This window comes from Homo sapiens, chromosome 21 (assembly GCF_000001405.40).
Source record: "Homo sapiens chromosome 21, GRCh38.p14 Primary Assembly".
NCBI lineage: Eukaryota > Metazoa > Chordata > Mammalia > Primates > Hominidae > Homo > Homo sapiens.
Window position 1 is genome coordinate 18788449 of NC_000021.9, and position 3574 is coordinate 18792022.

General features: G+C 36.1%; 1 annotated feature.

The window, feature by feature from the left end:
* Window positions 2670-2870: a silencer, noted in NCBI's record as "peak4356 fragment used in MPRA reporter construct". NCBI's record gives its function as "represses an SCP1 promoter by STARR-seq MPRAs in K562 erythroleukemia cells {active_cell/tissue: K562}" and the evidence as "EXISTENCE:reporter gene assay evidence [ECO:0000049][PMID:32103011]".

Sequence of the window (3574 nt, forward strand, 5' to 3'; positions counted from 1 at the left end):
GAAAATTTTCTCCCATTTTGTAGGTTGCCTGTTCACTCTGATGATAGTTTCTTTTGCTGTGCAGAAGCTCTTTAGTTTAATTAGATCCCATTTGTCAATTTTGGCTTTTGTTGCCATTGCTTTTGGTGTTTTAGACATGAAGTCCTTGCCCATGCCTATGTCCTGAATGGTATTGCCTAGGTTTTCTTCTAGGGTTTTTATGGTTTTAGGTCTAACATGTAAGTCTTTAATCCATCTTGAATTAATTTTTGTATAAGGTTTAAGGAAGGGATCCAGTTTCAGCTTTCTACATATGGCTAAACAGTTTTCCCAGCACCATTTGTTAAATAGGGAATCCTTTCCCCATTGCTTGTATCTCACACCAGTTAGAATGGTGATCATTAAAAAGCCAGGAAACAACAGGTGCTGGAGAGGATGTGGAGAAATAGGAACACTTTTACACTGTTGGTGGGACTGTAAACTAGTTCAACCATTGTGGAAGTCAGTGTGGTGATTCCTCAGGGATCTAGAACTAGAAATACCATTTGACCCAGCCATCCCATTACTGGGTGTATACCCAAAGGATTATAAATCATGCTGCTATAAAGACACATGCACACGTATGTTTATTGCGGCACTATTCACAATAGCAAAGACTTGGAACCAACCCAAATGTCTAACAACGATAGACTGGATTAAGAAAATGTAGCACATATACACCATGGAATACTATGCAGCCATAAAAAATGAAGAGTTCATGTCCTTTTTAGGGACATGGATGAAACTGGAAACCATCATTCTCGCAAACTATCGCAAGGACTAAAAACCAAACACCGCATGTTCTCACTCATAGGTGGGAACTGAACAATGAGAACACATGGACACAGGAAGGGGAACATCACACTCCAGGGACTGTTGTGGGGTGGGGGGAGTGGGGAGGGATAGCATTAGGGGATATACCTAATGCTAAATGATGAGTTAATGGGTGCAGCACAGCAACATGGCACATGTATACATATGTACCAAACCTGCACATTGTGCACATGCATCCTAAAACTTAAAGTATAATAATAATAATAAAAGTAGCTACTTTCTGTGTTCAATTGCCTCAACAATTGAATATTTTTGTTGAATATTAAATTACAAGATGCTTTTCTTTTGTGTTTGGAATACAATATGTCTCAAATATATCTCAAATGTATCCAAAATACCATTTGAGATATAATGAGATATATAAAATGGTATTTTAGATACATTTGAGATATATTATATTCTTTTAATATTTGATGATTTGGGGGCTAGAGCTTGGAAATGAAAATTACAATCTAAAATGTCCATTTTTACTTTCCTCCAATGCCAGTGGTCTTCATTAAGGTATAGGCAACTGACTGCTGGACTTTAATCAGATCATAAGTCCTTAGTAGTATGAGAGATGCATTGGGTACTTTAAAATTGGAGAATACTTTTATTTTTTCCTTATTTGAGGAATTATTAATTATTGAGTAATTTTATCAATATTTGAGTATTTACTAACTCAATTACTCAAATATTTATTTTTCACACAGAATGTGTTAAATCCTTTTGAAATCTTAGCAAAAATAAGCCTCGTCTCTTGAACGAGAAATTGATTTTCTCTACTAACAAATGGAACTTGAACCTCGATATGCGTGAGTTCAATTTTAAACTCCAAATCTATGATATTTGAGTAAGTGTTACGTTTGCCAAATTGTGTTCTTCCATCCCTAAAGCTATTAGTTCCAAGTCCTGCCAATAGGAAGATCAAAGAAATACAAAGAAAAAAATCAATATATGATTGAGCTTCTTCACCCCATCTTCATTAAGAGAATACATAGTATAATTTAATTCTGCAGCATATATTTGAAAATGGACAACCAAAGGTGCTACTAAAATTGAGCATTGTCTGATTCTAACTCTTTTGGAAAGCGGTCTTTTTAACTTGGCCAAGTCTATAATGATGGTAAACACACTAAACACACACACACACACACACACACACACACACAGCTATATAAAACCTAGTGTTGTTAATAAGAATAAAATGAACACCAAGGAATTCCTCATCCAAATTAAGAGATCCCTTATGTTGATGTCAGTCCCTTTCTCTGATAATATATTCTTCCTCCTCACCAGGGTTAAACACTATCCTTCTTTTTCCTTTAATCATTCTGATTTTTTTCAGTTTTTCACTCATGCATTTTTTTCTGAGGCATTCATTGTTAGGTATGGCATGGCTTTAAATTTTGTGTAAGTTCAATCATACTTTATGTATTCTGTTATTTTCACCTTGTTGCTCTGTATAGTTTTATATAGTTCATTTTCAGTTCTGAATACTACTCTACTGTATCAATATAGCCAAAATGTCTTCTCATTCTAGTCTTGATGGATATTGGGATATCCTCAGTATGTTACTAAGATAAACAATGGCACTATGAATTATATTGTGCTTTCAACAGAATACACATGCATAAATTTATCTCAACCAAATACTTATAAATGGAATTGCTCCACTTTACTAAGAGTTGTTAAAGTATTATTCCAAGAACATTTCCTAGCCTACTCTTTACATAGCTGTGTATAAAAGCTCTCCTTGCTGTGCTTACTTGTGAATATTAGGTTGGTGCAAAAGTAATTGTGGTTTTTGCTGTTATCTGCAATGGCAAAAAATGCATTACTTTTGCACCAACCTGAAATTTAATATTGTAGATTGATATGGTTTGGCTGCGTTCCCAGCCAAATCTCATCTTGAATTGTAGTTCCCATAATCCGCAAATGTAGTGGGAGGGACGCAGTGTGAGGTGATTGAATCATGAGGTCCGTTACTCCCATGCTGCTGTTCTGGTGATAGTGAGTTCTCAGGAGATCTGATGGTTTTATAGCAGGCTTTTCCCCCTTTTGCTCTGCACTTCTCTTTGTTGCTGCCATGTGAAGGACATGGTTGCTTCCTTTTCCACCATGATTGTAAGTTTCCTGAGGCCTCCCCCACCATGCTGAACTGTGAGTCAATTAAACCTGTTTCCTTTGTAAATTACACAGTCTCAAGTATGTCCTTATTAGCAGCATGAGAACAAATACCTAGATCTTTAAAACGTGTTGAATAACATAATAAAATTGTATCTCAGAATTTTAAAATGAATCTCTCAATTTAATTGAACAGAAATTCATTTTTATCACATCATTTTATGATTTAATACATGTATGATACTTTTAAAAATTTTATTTTTTAAAGCTGAGTTTTCTTTCTTATTAATCATAGCAATACTTTACATATTCTTGGTGTAAGTACATTGTGATGTAGATCAAAAACATCTTCTCCTAATTTAATATTTTTAAAGTATTCCATTGTAAAGCTTTTTTTTTTTTTTTTGGAGACAGTCTCGCTCTGCCGCCAGGCTGGAATGCAGTGGCGCGATCTTCGCTCACTGCTAACTCCGCCTCCCGGGTTCACGCTATTCTCCTCCCTCAGCCTCCCTAGAGACGGGGTTTCACCGTGTTAGCCAGCATGGTCTCGATCTCCTGATCTCGTGTTCTGCCCGCCTCAGCCTCCCAAAGTGCTGGGATTACAGGCACGAGCCAC